Consider the following 15,357-nt stretch of genomic DNA (forward strand, 5'->3'; position numbering starts at 1 on the left):
GCCTCACTCAGACACTGATGGTTAAGCTTTGTGTCCCCACCCAAATCTCATCTTGAATTGTAATCTCCATAACCCCATGTCAAGGGAGAGAGCAGGTGGAGGTAATCGAATCATGGGGTTGGTTTCCCCATGCTGTTCTTGTGATAATGAGTGAGTTGTCACAAGATCTAATGGTTTTATGAGGGGCTCTTCCCCCTTCGCTCAGCAATTCTCCTTCCTGCTGCCTTGTGAAGAAGGTGCCTTGCTTCCCCTTTGGCTTCTGCCATGATTGTAAGTTTCCTGAGCCCTCCCCAGCCATGCTGAACTGTTAATCAATTAAGCCTTTTTCTTTACAAGTTACTCAGTCTCGGGTAGTTCTTTATAGCAGTATGAAAACAGACTTAATACACGCACTCCCCCATCACCAGGTATCTCCAACTGGAAGATCTCTTAATACAGGCGAAGGACCCTCTTCTAACTCTTGTACATAAAGCTCTTAATTCAACTCCCATGAATCTGGAAGGTTTCCCCCAGCAACATTAAACTGTGGGGATTAGAGATTTGTTAGTGAAGTTTAGCATATTTTCATATGTTTATGATGCTTGCTTATATAGTTTGAGTAATCTATTTTATTGCTCATCTTTTAAAACTAATTTGTAGGTGTTCTATTTGCTAGATTCCAGTACATGACTTCTCTTTCAATTAGTCTATGAAGACTTTTTATCAAAGTTTTAAGTGTTAATGTAGGTAAATTTACCAATTTTGTTTCCCCTTTCCTCCCTTTTTGAATTAGTAATATTTTATTAGTACTTAACTTTATATTTTAGAAATCGCATTTAATGTGACCCAGTTAAACTTAATTAAAATCTTTTCTTAATTCTTAAAGGTCTGACAATTTTACATGTTGGAATGTGTTTCCCTCATGCTTTAAACAAAAAATAAAAATACTTTTAAAGTCACATTTTATGTATCTCACAGTCATACATTAAAACCATTCTTAGGCCAGGCGTGGTGGCTCATGCCTGTAATCTCAGCACTTTGGGAGGCTGAGGTGGGTGGATCATGAGGTCACGAGATCAAGACCATCCTGCCTAACACAGTGAAACACCATCTCTACCAAAAATACAAAAAATTAGCCGGACGTGGTGGTGGGTGCCTGTAGTCCCAGCTACTCAGGAGGCTGAGGCAGGAGAATGGCGTGAATCCGGGAGAAGGAGCTTGCAGTGAGCTGAGATCGCACCACTGCACACTCCAGCGTGGGCGACAGAGCGAGACACTGAGGGAAAACAAAACAAAACAAAACAAAACAAAATTCTTATTATTTATCCAGATTTATCAAAAGTTTATTAAATAGAATACAATGGCAAAATTCAAGGCTTTTAACAATTGAGTGGTAAAGTTCAAGTGGAAGAAAGCAAAACTCAGAGGAGTAAGAGAAGAAAAGAACAATATTTTGCCTATGCCATTTAATTCCCACAAATTTGCAAAGTGAGCATTGTTATTCTCAGTTTCCAGATGAATGCACTGAAATAATTTGGATATTTATCCTCTCCAAATTTCATGTTGAAATTTGGAGGTGGGGTCTGGTGGGAGGTGTTTTGGTTTACTCAGCCAAAGAATTTAGCTTCTTTGATTCGAAGCTGAGATTTGAACCCAGGGTCCTTTGATTCCAAGCCCAGATATTTACCACAATATCTCTGTGATCATCCAATTTATATGTCTCAAGTATCTGTGCCATTGACAAATTGTAAAACTGTGCATGTATACATTATACCTCCTAAGGTTGAGACATAGATGGAAGTGCCCAGCAAAACGTCTGGCACAAAGGCATTATTTTTTGTTTTGGCTTTGGGCTAAAAAAACATAGATAACAAGCAAATGCTTTGGAGCCCTTTAAGAAGTCTTATCTTGCTTTTAAACACCTATAATAATCTTTGGCAATGACATTCTGCTTATTATTATTTTTAATGGCAGGTCAAGGCTCTTTTGCAGTTTGATTGAGAGACGTCAAGCGGGACTAAAAAAGGTGTAGGGAAATACCATTCTTGAGATGCCAGTACTCCCACCAGAAATCTCTGCAAGCACTTTCAGCTTCCATCCAGACAATTTGAATTTCAACTATGTTAGACCTCTGTGATATATTTAGAAAAACCAGCTTCAGAACATTGCTAAGGTAGTTACAAGGGTCTAAACATTTTAGAACTCTGTCAATTAGCTCAGTGGTTGTGTAGAATGGTGTTGAAGAAAATTTAATAATGGTGGCATTCAGAAGTTCATTAAGAATGTGTATGCCATGGTCTAAATGTCTGTATCCCTCCAAAACTCATGTTGAAGTCTGAACTCCTAAGGCGATGGTGTTAGAAAGTGGGGGCTTTGGGTGGTGATTAGATGGTGGTCACAGAGCCCTCATGAGTGAGATTAGTGCCCTTTTGAAAGTGGCCCGGGAGGGGACACTTCATCCCTTTTACTGTGTGAGGACACAGCAAACAGGCACCACACGTGAGCCGGCAAGTAGGCCCTCACCAGACACCAAATTGGCCTTGATTTTGGGGTTCCCAGCTTCCAAAACTGTAAGAAATAAATTTATTTACAAGCCTCCCAGTTTATGATACTTTATTATAGCAGCCCAGATAAATTCAGACAGGGTGGTTGACCAAAAGTGATCTTATATTGTTTACAAAAGGCAAACCCTTCACAAGAAACAAGAGGTATTTTGAGTTCACAATCAGTCCAGTGAAGCAATATTATGCTAAGAAGGATGTTCTTCTGTTTGCTACTCAACATTGAAGATGTGAAGAATGAGAACATTTGGCTGGAAACGGCACCTAATGAAACAAACACCCACTGGTGGGACATAAACAGCTATAGGCATAAGACAAACCATCTCGGCCCTCCTGAGACTTGCAAGATCTAACTTCTCCAGGCAAGGCATTTATATCTTTGGAAATGCATGAGGTTTTAATTTGACCAAGAATAAATGTTTAAGTATGCAAGAGTTAGAGAATGGCAGCCACAGGGCACCATTTTAGGTTAAAATAGTGTGCATTTATACACACACACACACACAGCAGCTGGAGGGAGAGTATGGCTCTTGGAAATTTTGAAGCAATCACTGTTTAAAGTTCATGGGAAATTCACTAAATCATTGTTTTGAGATTTGGGTTTCATATATCTTGTACCTCTCCTTCTTTACAGATCCTTGATGAATTGAAGATATTCAAGGAGGTAAAAAGGGATCAAACTGTAGTGCTAGTTTTACTACTGGTCAAGTCAAACTGGGGATATGGCTGGGCTTTCCATCTCCTTCTAGGAATCCAGACTGCAGGATCCCAGTTTATCTTCTCAGGAGTAGGCAGAAAGGCTGGAGCTATATAGGGTACACCTGATGGCTCTGGGTAAGAGGCATCTAAGCCTGGACAATAAGGCAATCTAAGCGCCCTGGACCCCTACCCAGCTCTGTTACCCCACCCCCGCCTGTATTTTCACAATGCTCAGCTCTCATCATTCTCACCAAACAACACACACACAACGCACAAACACACACACACTCTGCTCTACCAAGTACAGGAAAAACCTCGCGTTTGATGACCAGGAGGAATTGTTGATTCTATGGGAATTCTATTTTAATTAAAGAAAAAAGTTCTTTCATTGCAAATACTTCCAGTTCCACTGCAGATTCCTAGCAGAAGCTGTCACATGGAAAATCAACTGATTCTGCACATTCATGGTTAAAAGAACGATTTCAATAGCAGTGGAAACAATAATAACATCAACAAAAAACAGAATAAATTGTATCTATATTACATTTATTATGAAAAGTGAGATGCAAAAAAATCATAATCTAAATTTTTTGATGGTAAAACTAAGTCATTAGTTGAATATCAGAATTTTAAGCATCCATTCAAAAATCAAATCCAAAATGAAGGTGTAAGTATACGTAATTCCAAAATCTTACTTCATCTTTGTATAAATTATAACATTTCTTCTTTTTTCTAGGAAATGAAGTTTTATTGGTCAATATCTGGAGGATGAGAACTTTCTGAAATGATTTTATGGCCTTTGTAAACATTATAATGTAGACATTATAAAAAAACATAACTTTGGATTTTAATATTAATACATTCATAAATGGACTTTCCATTTTGAATATTTTTTCTTGTAATATTATACCACACTTTTGATCTTTCTTAGTTGAGTATTTACACACATAAATGATTCTCATATTGAAAACTGCAATTTTTAAGTTATAATTTTTCTGGGTATTATTCAAATTAATACACATCTTTCAAAAATAATCACATAAATTTATCTTTGAAGCAACCATAAGTATTGACAAACATCAAGATTTCAGGTATGCTGCACTTATAAACATGTATACTTTTATTAGTTAAAAAACACTGCCACTCTAGTTGTAATTGTAGTGTTCTTATAGCTGGTTAATCTTTTATTTTTATTTAATATACAACGATGGCACATTCGTTCTCTAAAACATGAATATGTTTTTAAATGTTATTCTTAACTTTCTACTGAGAAGTGGTTGTTTGTACTTTGCCAAATGGAATTCTCTATCAAGGGGTGATTCTGGTATTTCCATTTATATTTTCTTTTTTTTGAGACAGAGCCTTGCCCTGTCTCCCAGGCTGGAGTGCAATGGCGCGAACTTGGCTCACTGCAACCTCTGCTTCCCAGGTTCAAGTGATTCTCCCACCTCAGCCTCCCGAGTAGCTGGGATTACAGGCACACACCACCATGCCCGGCTAGTTTTTGTATTTTTAGTAGAGACGGGGTTTTGCCATGTTGGCCAGGCTGGTCTTGAACTCCTGACCTCAGGTGATCTGCCTGCCTTGGCCTCCCAAAGTGCTGGGATTGCAGGTGTGAGCCACCACGCCCAGCCTCCATGCATATTTTCAATCTGATACCCAACCAACGTAATTTTTAGTGTCGAGGATTCAAGGTCAAATTGTGTTAGGTTTTAAGAACCAGGTGAGACTTTTTGATCCCTAATAGAGCACTTCCTTTGAGAAAAAATGAGATAAATTCGAACAATATCAATTAACTGGTTGGAATTATGATAAGCTGACAAATCTTGTTCAGAGTTGACACTTGCCAGCTAATGATTCTAATGTTGTTAGAATCCACACAGTATTACCTGTTATTGATAATACTAATTTTTTGTTTGAGTCCATCTTAAGGAACTCAAGACACGAGGCAATTTAAGTGCCCTGGAACCCCACCCAAGGGTTCATTGCTCATATCCTATTATCTCACCAACATCATCTGCAATTTTTTTTCATTTAAATCTTTGACTTCTCTTCGGTGTTGGTAGGCATAGTTTTGCTGAGCTCAAGAGAAGAATGCCTGTGATCATATCCACTTTGAGTGATTATACATGCTTGAAATCTAGGGATCCATTTCCAAAAAATGTAGGGCTTTTATTGGTTTGTGCAAATCAACACACTGATACATGTCCAAAAGGAGTCTCCAAAACATAATCGATTTTCATCCCTGTTTGCCATTTCCAGATATGAAATTAGGTGCTTAAAGAGAAGCATTAATTCCCTGTAGCTACTCAGTTACCAGTCTGTGCTTCAGTTGCTGGAGTTTTCTAAGCACAAAATCTGCTACCAGGGAGTAACACCATTAATTGGGGGGGCATCTCATTCAATAATAATATTTGTAAAACAGAGCAGTCATGGAAATATGCAACTTTCAATTAGTGGTTTTAATTTGTGATTTATCTGAATATACTAGTATAAATAAAATGTATTATGTGTGCCTATATATGTGGATAAGCTATTTACATTTTTATGTGTAGAAAATGAAAAATATATATTGATTAGCCCTTTTGAGGCTTTTGAACAACTGTTTCATCTTCCTTCTTTCCTGCAACTGCTTTGAGGATTTAGATAATTCATACAAGGTATGTACACAATCACACCCATAGTATGTACATCCTAGTCACACACTTAACACGGAGAGGATGTGTGAGGAATGTAAATTATCCCAGTGGTCAAAGAACTGACCTTACCTGTGACTAATGGCATGGTTACTTAGCCCTGGCATATTTAATAATATGCCAATGTACTGATTACTATATTCAGCCTTTGTGATAATTATGTTACCTACTCAAGGAGATGATAAAAAAAAAACACAAATCAAACAGCCCTTTCTGACCTTCAAAAATAAAAGGACAAATTCTGTTACTGAATACATGTGCACACTTTTGTTGGCTTTATTCATGTATGTACATATGCCTGCCTGAATACAGAAATTGGCCTTTAAATGGGATACGACAAGTTATTTTTTTTACACATAAAAATAGAAAACTGATCACTCAGACTGTACACACTCACAGAATGTATTGACATACCACGACCAGCTACAGTATTATGCACGACATATTGTTCACACATTAGTACAGCAGAGATACACACATTTAGAAAATTAGTAATTGCTAGTATATATTTTTCTTATTTTCAGGCTGTGTTGACCTTTTTCAACCTTAATAAAAGGTATCTCCAGGGGCCCTTAAAACAAGAATTAGTCTTTCCTCTCCTCTAGGGATTGGGGAGTATGACTATAATACTGCAATCTCCTGATATACCAGCATCATTTTAAGACACGATGGAAAACATTAGGAAAAATAAGTTACGTAAAGATGTGATCTAAAATAAATGTTAAGGAATCTCAACTAAAATCATCAAGGATGCCAATTAACATGAGTAAGCCCTTTCTACTCATTTTATATAGTTTGCTCTACACACAGCCTTTACATGTTATTAAAAGCAATGATATGAATCAGAAAAAAAACTGTTTAACTGCTCAAGAGTTTTTCTAAAGAGAGACAATTTTTAAAGCAACAAAGAACAATACTAGCAGCAATGTCAAAAAGCAAGCTATAATTTTCACCCCAGAAATAAATGAATGACATCTCCATAGTTAAGAGATCAAGAAAGCTGTTAGCAATTCTCTCCCATTTAATTCTTTCTAACATCATTAAATCACTGGGGTATCTCATCATAATTATCACCATGCAGGTTGATCATCAATATCCTTTTCTAAAGTGTAAAATATGTGATTTTTATTCCTACTATTTTGCAGCCAATTAATTTTGAGCTTGAATCCAGAAAGATACTTGATGAAGAGTTAGCATTTAGAAGTGCCCATCTGGAGCATCGTTTTCTGTAAGGCATCATTTGAAGCCTCTTTGGATACAAGATCTCATGTTTTAGTGATTTTACATCCGGGAGCCCATTTTTTCACAGCTAAAGCTGGTAATCCTCTGGGCAGAGTTAACTGAATTGCTTTCTACATGCTAGTGTCCAGAAAGAGTAATTACCATAAGTTTAAAGTCTCCATTTCAACAAAACTTCTGGTTGCAGCTGTCTTGAGTTTTAAGCCAGCAAGACTTTGAGTGGCTCCTCTTCCCTCTGGGCTCACATAAAAACATAGATGCCAACTGTATCCTGACTAATGCTCATTAGTGCTGTACCTCTTTATGAAGCTTCTAAACAAGTTTTTCCAGGAAGAAAGCAGAAACTATGCCTTTGCTTATTTTATCCTGTGGGTTACAGTCAGTCTTCATAAAGCAAACCATCATTATATAATGGTGTGCCCATAATAGATGCATTTGCTGGTATAACTGCCTCTTTTTGGCACATTATTGCTTGGCTTTAATTTCATATTCAACAGTCTTTATTCTCATTATTAGTATCTGAGATATTTGTGTCTTAAAAAAACTTGCAAATAACATCTTGTTGCACCATTCTGGCCACCACAAGTCATTTCACCAAGGTCCAAGGTTATTTGAATGTTGTTTATAATTATCATCACGTTTACTTACCTAACAGCCAAAAATAATGTTTCAGGATTGTTTGTTGCTGCTATCTACACATATATACAGATGCACTGGATTTATTTTGAGAGAGGTTATTTTGTTGTGGCAAGTGAGTAGTTTAGCTGGTGACTGTTCACAGTTAAAAGTAGCTGTAATGACCTCTGGCAGATGTCACTGATCACTTGGGAGACAGAATTTTTCCACTTCAATCCATCTTCATTTATGTCCTTGGTCATTGCAAACCCAGCTTATTTGATTTCTGCAGCCAAGGAGAATTGTTTTCTTTCCAAGAGTAGGATAAAGTTCATGGAAATCTGTTTCAGTATTTACAAGACTATTTTTTTTCCCATTTGCAAAAATGTCTAAAATTTTGTAGACATCCTTAAGCCCATGTGTCTGGACAGATGACATTTGTAATTGCTCAGCCAGTTGAAGAATTTCATTAAGAAGGATATCGTTACAAGGATGGACAGGAGATTCAGCATATCCTCTGTTATTTGCCAGGTGGCAGCAGCTGACCCGAATTTGGAGAGAATCAACCAAAAAGGGCCACGCACAACATCAGGAAGCATTGCTAACAGAAAACAAAATGCTCAGATACATATGTAAAATAACAAACACTAAAGGGGATGTTTGACTTCTGATTTCACCATGTACACAAAAACAGAGTGGGAATAAGGTAGTCGGCTCACTTATGCAAGATACTGCTGAGTTCACTGTTCTACCACAAAGGGAAATTCACAGGCCTCACTTCTCAAACACCACTTAGAACAAAGCAGGAGAGAGTAAACAGCATCATCTCCATGGCAGCATTACAGATAATTAGTAAATCAGGCAGGTAGAGGTCTACACAAGGCTACAAGTGCCCAGTTTTCAATAAAAACACATATACATATATGCAAACCTTATCCTAATGTATTGTTTTTCTTTATACTGATTCATAAAAGTAGACAAGGGATGTGGTTAATTATGTGTTACTAGGAGTAGACAAAATTTTAAACACTTGGCACAATATGTAGGAGGAAGAGAAGACACACATTTCACACATTTTGGCAGCAAAACAGTAACAAAGTGGATGCAGAAAAGGACAAACAATTTATATTAACAGCACACTTGCATATATCCTCTGTAAACACATTTTAAAGTAACATCATACTCTGTTCTTGGTATGCTATATATAGGGATTCTCAGAATGACAGGCATTCCCAGAAATGAGAGGAAAAACATTAGTATAAGCTAGGAACAGTGAAACCTCAATATGCTAGAATACAAACAAATGCTATTTTCCTCTTCTGCTTTCTACTTTAAGACAGCAAGCTCCTATTATGAATTTGGTTCTGAAATCCAACCTCTAAGGTATATGTTACACATGCATATTTAGTTCAATTTATTTCAATTTTTATGTTTAACTTTATAACATGGTGAACACTGGTATTCAAAACAGTATCAGAGAATTCTCAAGATTAAAAAAAATTATCAAAGATCAAATTACATTCAATATAGGTGAACTTATCAAGGCAGGAAACATACTAACACATTTTATAAATATTCAATTTCAGACGTGAACAAAAAGGTTTCTGGTTAACATTGACTTATCAGGATGTTCAACTTTTGCCAGTGACCCAAAGCACAAAGGTTAATCAATATTTTACTCTATGTAAAGTAGTTGGTCTGTGGCATTCAAAGTCAATAATCCAGAAATACATAATTAGAAAAGCATTCAAGATAAACATATGACAGCTGAAGCTGTCACATTTTTCTCATGGTCATAAAAACAGAACAATCAATCTTTAAATTAAAAATTTTAGTATTCACTTGTTAAGTGGTATAGCATCTTAATATTTTAAATGTTGAATTGTCTTCCAGACATGGAGTTCTAACTCACCTTTTTACTACTGGTTTAAGGAATATTTTCTATTTCTTGATTCAATAAAATATTTCCTCCATATATTTCAAAAATATAATGCATGAAAAAGAACCAAATCATATCTAAGAGAAATGAAGGGTAAAACCAAACAACTTTCAACCCAATGTGTGTCATGCAGGTAAAGTAAGGAAAAAACTGAGCAAGTTCCAAGAGTCTACCAAGAAAACTGTTTTGCAGCTTCATCTGTTGAATGAACCTTAGGTTTCACAAATAAGGTATACTAAATGCCTAATGCTATGTCACAGATTGAAGTGAAGGAAAATTCTCAAATAAGGTTTTATTGTGAGAGTAACTTAGGGGAGGTATCACAATACAAAAATGCTGCTGTCTTGAATAGGTCCCTATCTTATTTATCCATCTGAAGATATATTTCTGTTAATGTCCTTAAAAGCTGTTAGTTATATAGGGTTTAATGAGCCACAAAACAAACAATATTTTTGTAATATTTTGTGACAATCTCTTGAGTGTTGTAGAAGTGAAGAATTTGGTCCCAGCACCAAAGAAAATCAGTTAAACTCAGTACATTAAACAAATTTTCTTAAAGTTTTGATAGACATAACCACAATAGCAAATCTAGCAATTTTAATGTATTTAATGTGAGACAAATGCCAACAACTCTCTCAGGCCTCTGCTTCATTTAACTGTTTACAAATCATGTGGTTACTCTAAAGTCATGAAAATAAATATTATTATCAGAGGCGAAATTCCTTATTCTCACCTATTTTAATGCAGGGACAGCCTGTTCTAGCCACTTTACAGCAGAGGATTACCTGGGGCCACCCATCTGGAGTAGGCCCTGTTGACAGCTGCTACTGTGTACACAGGCTGTACTCTGTGTATACACAGCATGTATGCCCATGTGGGAGGGAGAAGCCAGCTAGCAAGAGTTAGAGAGATTATGTCCTGGCAGAGGCATCTGAGACAGAAGTGACACGAACACAACTACAAATGGGTATTTAAGGCCCAAAGAGAGAGTGTTAGGCTAAATCTCTAATCATTAATAGTAATTTGCTTGGTAATTTGATGGAAATTTCAACATTACATAGTATTCTTAATAGACACCAATGGGTAAGAAACTGAAAAATGTGCCTTATTAAAAAATTCCTTCTAATTTCCAAATAGAACAACTGTAACAACTCTCAGGCTCTGAGAATACTGTTCCATATATGCAAGCTTTGTCTACAGTTAAATTGCTTCAAAATAAATCAAAGGCTTTTTACTAATTTAGGTTGTGTCGAGTGTAGCTTGTGCTAAGTTCAGGAATGATTTTTTTTCCTGCATATGTTCAGAATGTGCAGAACAGAATTAAAGTGAAAAAAGCCAGAACAGATACTGTGAATTGACTGTACCCACGGGACACATGAGTCTCTAGAGAGAATACCTATGGTTAGGTACTCTTTTCTAGCTCATTACGGGGAATGAGTTCAAAGAAGACAACCGGTGCCCCTCCAGCATCTAAGTCTGGTTTTCTAAACGCAAAATGGAGACCAGCACTCCCCCAACAATATCTGCAGGAAGGGAAGGCTTCCCAGGGCCGTTGTTCATTCTTCCTTTCCACACTACCCCAATTCTCAAGGCGATGCTGCTCATCCAGGCCAGTGCCTTGGAGGATACTCATGTGTCTCGGGACACACGTCTCTTCTGGAGACACGGGAGGGCCAAGGTCCCAGGAAGTATAATCCACCCAAATCACAAGCCATGTTTTCGTAAAGGCCTCTTCTTTCATTGGGTTTGAAGGATATTATGGGTATTTCTCTTAAAATCAATAAGTTTGCAGAAGTTACCTTTTTACTCCAGCATATATATTTAAGCAATTAGATGATAGTAGTCTATGTACAAAAATTGTAAGGAAGCTCACATTCTAATTTGGTGTTGACTACATTTGTTACTGGAAGTTACTGAACCCAATTAAAAAAAATCACTAATTGCATCCTGTTTACAGGAGTCTAAATTAAACATTGTTTTTGTTACTTATGAGGCTTTTATCATCACAGAAAAAGCAGTGTTTGGTAATCTGCTATTTATAGTTCCTGACCAGAACCTTAGCATTCTCAGTAGAATATCACTGGAGAACACCTGCACAGTATCAATTTAGTATTATCCCTAATTTGATGGCTCTTTTCAAGAATTCAGTCCCATGTACTTCCTCTAGGGTAAGAAAATATGAATATGTCTGGTCAGAATCACAGAGATGCGCCTTGCCTTCAGTGCAGGAAAATGGGTCTATATAAATCCATGTTTAATGTAGGCAGTTTTCATAGTCAAAAGCTTAGCTAATGTTCCTAATATAACTTTCTTATATTTATTAACAGCAATAAGAAGGTTTATAAAAAGAGTTGTCTGCAGATGTTTATAAACATTAATTCATATTTCATATTTTACACATTTAACTGTTTTTATTTAATGTTATCTGGCCTAGGAATGAATCAAATATGTTCTCATTTTTTTCATTATGGTTCTTATCACCTATTTATAATTTGTGTGGTTACAGCATTCTTACTGCAATAAGACTAGAAATTATAACAATGTTTTCGCCAATAGTGTTTTTGCTACTTTCAATATGAAGCAGGGATTTTAATGGAACTACTACTGTGTGATAAATTGAGGCAGTTATACAAAATAATACATGTATAATGATACAATAATGCTATTTCTATGAACAACATCATATTTTTAAAAACCCAGTGAGTATTATTTTCAATTTGTTAAGGTTGCAAACCTTCAGTGAAGCTTGTTTCTCTTTTCTTGTTCCTTCTTTCAAATTGAAATGACATTTTTGTTTATAGAGCTCCAGGTCAAAGGATCTAACAATTTTTAATAGCAATTTCCTATAGTGAATACTTGCTTTTTCTTCCTAGTCTTGCAGCAAAAAACTAAGCAAGCTTTGACATAGAGGGACGCATGTGAATACCGTAAATTTATACACAAACTCCCATAAATACTCCCTTTCAATCTAACACAGAAGACGGGGCAGGACGGACGCAGCAGTTGGGGCGTCGGAAGTTCTGCAGCATGGACTGGAAAACACTGTGCTGCCTTCCTCTGAGCTTCTTATTTGAAGAAGTATCTGAGGAAATGGATCTCCGGGTCTGGCTATTTTGAGTTTTGATTAATTTCTCATGTTCCCTGATTTGTCTTTGCAAATGGTTCTGGATCGCGATTCCCAGGGACTCTGCGTCCAAGGATGCACCATACACTTCCCAGGTCATTCCCTGCTCATCCCACACGACGTCCCTGACACGCTTGGACTGTTTCAGCTGGAGCTTGGAGTCTGCGCCAAGCTGCTTTTTCTTATCTCCTGGAGTGAGTCCTACCTGAGCAGCAGCTGCTGTCACATTTAACTTTTGCTCCTTGAGGAACTCGCTGACGCGGCTGGGCCTGCGTGGGCTGGCTTTGACGGAGCGAGATGGGGTCTTCTTGCCAGAACCTGGGCTGGAGTCACCCATGGGATCAGATGGCAGGCTCAGGCTGGTGGCTGTCTTGGTCTGTCTGTTTTCTTCTAAGGTGCTCTCCTGGTTCTTCCTAATTGGGGAGGGTGTAGGATTAGCAGCTGATTCTGTGCCTCCACTTTCTTGGGATTTAGGATTGAGCAGTAGGGTTTTGGCATCCGAGGTATCAGTGCCAGTAGACTCTTTTTCTTTTACTACCTGAGGAGATGCAGGCTTCTTTTCCCTTGCATCTCCTTTATTAGTGGGATCCAAGCTCCCAGAATGATCAGCTTTGCTGATAGAGCCACAAGAGTCAGATAGTTTGCAATCTGGGTCTGTTTTGTGGCCGTTTGTCGTTTTCTCTGCAAACTCAGATGGCCTGGTTTCAAATTTCCCCAATCCATAACTTGTTTCAGCTTGACTGCATGCACTGATAGAAATCTGGTCAATGGCGGTAGCTTTCAGGGAGCTAGAATTAGTACCTGCGAGCTTTTTAGCAGTTGACTCTTCCCTCACTGGAGTCATTCCTGCTAACCTCCCATCTTCTTTACACGTATGCTGGGCATTACTGGAGACCAAATTGATTGATGAGGTTTTAAGGACCCCACCTGGTAGGCTCGCAAGTTTATTTTCCCGTTGGAAAGCTGTAGACTCAGCTGCAGCTGCCTGAATGTGCACCTGTGGCATGATGCCAGGGCACTGGCTGGACTCCTGGGGGGCTAGCGTGCTGTCAGAGAGCTCCAGTGTGTGGCTCCCACTGCTGTGGCAAATGACACGCAGCTGCTCTTGTTCAAAATGCTCAGGAGCACGGCTTTCCTTCAGAAATGCAGTGAGGATACTGGGGCTGGTGGAGACGGATCTGCTCTCGACACTCGCCACTGCCTGCACCTCCGCATCTTGCCAAGCCCTGCTGGGAACTTCCTTGATTTCACTTTCAGCTTGGTTGGTCATCGTACTGGCTTCTTTGAACCTTGACATCTGACGCTGTGCTGGCAGCGGCACCTTCTCTGGACCTGGGGGACATGCCGAAGGTTCGCTAGTGAGGGGGGTTGGTTGAGGTGTCACAGAAGTTGTGCCTTGGGGGCCCGAGGCAGTGACAGAGGGCTGCTTGTTCTCTGAACATCCAGATTCTCTAGTTAGAGGTTTACAGGACCTCATTTCAGAGTCACAGATGGCTCCCTGCCTTTCCCCTTCAGGTCCACCTACAGGAGAGGATGAGTGACTGACCACCCTGGCTGCTGTCACTGGAGTCTGCACTGTTCCCTGGATTGTTTCTGGAGAAGGAAACTCACAGGACACCTGATCTTTGCTGCTACTGAGGACGCCTCCCACAGGACAACTTGGTTTCTCAGGTTGCTCTCTATTTGAGGTTCTCTGTGATCTCATCAGGGAATCTTCAGGCATGGATGAGGTGATGGCATTGGGCTGATCACCTGGGATGGACTGGCAGGTGTGCTGATTGGCGGGCATTGTCAATGGTGTGTGTATAAGATCCCTTCCTGCTGCAGAACTCGGGGCTGATGCTGCGGGCTGGCTGCTCCCTGGCAGCTGGGGATTGCCGGGAGAGTTGAATGTGGCAGGTGCTTTCTGCACTTCATTGAACACACCAGGAGAAGACATATCTGGTTGGGTGGTCTCATGCTCACAAACCTGCATCAGGGCTTCGGCAGCTGCCCTGGGGCTGAGGTCTGGTTCTGCAGGGGCACCTGAAAAGCCATTGGCATTCTTACACAGGAGAGCTGGTCGATGCCGAGGTGAGGCAGCCTGTGGCTCTCCTAGATCGTCTTCTTTTCCGGAAGCTGCAATCAGGGAAGTTTTAGCTGATCTCAGAGGGTCAGGTACAGTCCCCATGGAATTTCTCTTCAGGAGCACTCCAGAGCTCTCTTGAGTACTGGTCCCACTGGTGGGGGAGGGGAGCGCAGTCAGAGCTCAGAGTGATGACACAGTCAGGGATGATTCCTCTGAAGAACCAGCCTGTGAATCAAGGAAACAGCATCATTAATACAGTACGTCGCTTAAGGATTGAAAAATAAACCAAACTGTCGTTTTTATAAGAGCACATTAAAAACTTTTCTTCCCATACCTGTTGATATAAAAATAGACCTTGTGGGGAGGGAGAAGAAAAATAAATAAATAAAAATAGACTTGAGAAAAAGATTTTGAAAAAAATTATAATTACGAAAATA

The 15,357-nt window shown here is 38.8% G+C and overlaps 1 protein-coding gene across 10 annotated transcripts in view; it reads right to left on the bottom strand.

The window, feature by feature from the left end:
- Positions 1-1,294: 1,294 nt before the first annotated feature.
- The window catches only part of GPRIN3 (GPRIN family member 3), a 71,418-nt gene continuing 57,355 nt past the window's right edge, over positions 1,295-15,357 (bottom strand). For all 10 annotated transcript variants that reach the window (NM_198281.3, XM_017008044.2, XM_047450091.1 and 7 more), the window contains one exon: positions 1,295-15,145. In NM_198281.3, coding sequence (NP_938022.2) covers positions 12,692-15,022 — 2,331 coding nt within the window. In that variant the 5' untranslated portion in view covers positions 15,023-15,145 and the 3' untranslated portion in view covers positions 1,295-12,691. The remainder of the gene's footprint in view (positions 15,146-15,357) is intronic.

The sequence above is a fragment of the Homo sapiens genome, chromosome 4 (genome assembly GCF_000001405.40).
Source record: "Homo sapiens chromosome 4, GRCh38.p14 Primary Assembly".
NCBI classification, from domain to species: Eukaryota; Metazoa; Chordata; class Mammalia; order Primates; family Hominidae; genus Homo; species Homo sapiens.